This window comes from Homo sapiens, chromosome 14, assembly GCF_000001405.40.
Source record: "Homo sapiens chromosome 14, GRCh38.p14 Primary Assembly".
NCBI classification, from domain to species: Eukaryota; Metazoa; Chordata; class Mammalia; order Primates; family Hominidae; genus Homo; species Homo sapiens.
Window position 1 is genome coordinate 41514668 of NC_000014.9, and position 1968 is coordinate 41516635.

A 1968-nucleotide genomic window follows, 5' to 3' on the forward strand; every position below is an offset into this window, starting at 1 on the left:
ACTAATATCCACCACTGATAAAGTATAAGCTGAAATATTTTCAGAAAGTAAGCAGCATAGACAAAGGTCTAAATCCTTAAAGTAATTTTAATACTTTGACCAGGTAACTAAATTTCAGGAATTTAAGATGAGAAAATAATTAGATATGTGTATAAATACCTTTACACAGTGCTGTGCATTCAAACATTACATATGCTGAAACTAGATTCACTTAAATGGTTTGGATAAACTTTACTGTATCCATGCAAAGAAATATATTACACAGTTGTCAACTGCATTAAATGCCAAAGTAAAGAGTCAGACACCTAAGTTATTGTATATTATAGCTCTAATGTTATAAAATATAACTATAAATCAATATTTGTGAAAGAAAAATATTAATATGAAATATACTAATATAACTCATTTTTGAATGAGATGTGTGATGTGTCTTTTTGCCTTTACATCGTCCTGATATTTTTTCATTTTTTCATGAAGGGTTAGTACATTACTTCCATAATCATAAAAAGTAAATATGAAATGTATATTTAACATGTTATTATGAGGAAACTCAATAAATAAAGCATATCATCACTGTTATGCTGGAAACGAATGCTGTAAGCCCAGAATCCTCACAGTAAGATAGCATCATTCTGTTAACTGATAGTTGGAAAGCTATTGGCTGGTATGTCTGTCAATTCAATTGTTAATCTGTATTCTGTATATTTTTTAATATTAAAAATCATTTTAAAATGTAAACTCCATTATTGTTATAATTTTAAAAATTAACTAAGGTGCCAGGAGTTGTGAATCATCACCACAGGGTTAACAATAAGAAGTTATATGACTTTCAACTCTTTCCTTTAACCTTCTGGAATACAATTTTCTCACCTAAAAAACAAAGATGTTTCATTAGATGATTAGTCGATTAATTTATGGTTTTCCAATTGTGACTCTTGTAAGGATCTAAAATATTTATGCCGCACACCTCTTCTGAGAAGAAACTGTCGTTGCTCCAATATTCCTGCCTACATCTAACAATATTCCCCGTAAATTACTCTGTAATCCTTTTTCACTCCTTACATGCCTTCATGTCTCTTCTAGTAGATTAGATAACGATGTATGTTCCACTCTGAGCAGGTATATTCAGACCTACCTATAAAGGTCAAGGGAGCTGAGAGGCCAAAGAAAGGGACTGACAAATCCAGTTTCTCAGAAAGAAACTGTCAGGCCTCTGAGCCCAAGCCAACCATCCCAGCCCCTGTGACTTGCACATATATGACCAGATGGCCTGAAGTAACTGAAGAATCACAAAAGAAGTGAATATGCCCTGCCCCACCTTAACTGATGACATTCCACCACAAAAGAAGTGTAAATGGCCGGTCCTTGCCTTAACTGATGACATTACCTTGTGAAAGTCCTTTTCCTGGCTCATCCTGGCTCAAAAAGCACCCCCACTGAGCACCTTGCGACCCCCACTCCTGCCTGCCAGAGAACAAACCCCCTTTGACTGTAATTTTCCTTTACCTACCCAAATCCTATAAAACGGCCCCACCCTTATCTCCCATCGCTGATTCTCTTTTTGGACTCAGCCCGCCTGCACCCAGGTGAAATAAACAGCCATGTTGCTCACGCAAAGCCTGTTTGGTGGTCTCCTCACACGGACGCGCATGAAATTTGGTGCTGTGACTCAGAATGGGGGACCTCCCTTGGGAGATCAATCTCCCGTCCTCCTGTTCTTTGCTCCATGAGAAAGATCCACCTACGACCTCAGGTCGTCAGACAGACCAGCCCAAGAAACATCTCAAATCCGGTAAGCGGCCTCTTTTTACTCTCTTCTCCAACCTCCCTCACTATCCCTCAACCTCTTTCTCCTTTCAATCTTGGTGCCACACTTCAATCTCTCCCTTCTCTTAATTTCAATTCCTTTCATTTTCTGGTAGAGACAAAGGAGACACGTTTTATCCGTGGACCCAAAACTCCGGCGCT

At 38.1% G+C, this 1968-nt stretch overlaps 1 annotated feature.

The window, feature by feature from the left end:
• Window positions 1044-1634: an enhancer, noted in NCBI's record as "OCT4-NANOG hESC enhancer chr14:41984914-41985504 (GRCh37/hg19 assembly coordinates)". NCBI's record gives its function as "activates a minimal SCP1, AML or CMV promoter by ChIP-STARR-seq in naive and primed H9 embryonic stem cells {active_cell/tissue: H9 hESC(naive and primed)}" and the evidence as "EXISTENCE:reporter gene assay evidence [ECO:0000049][PMID:30033119]".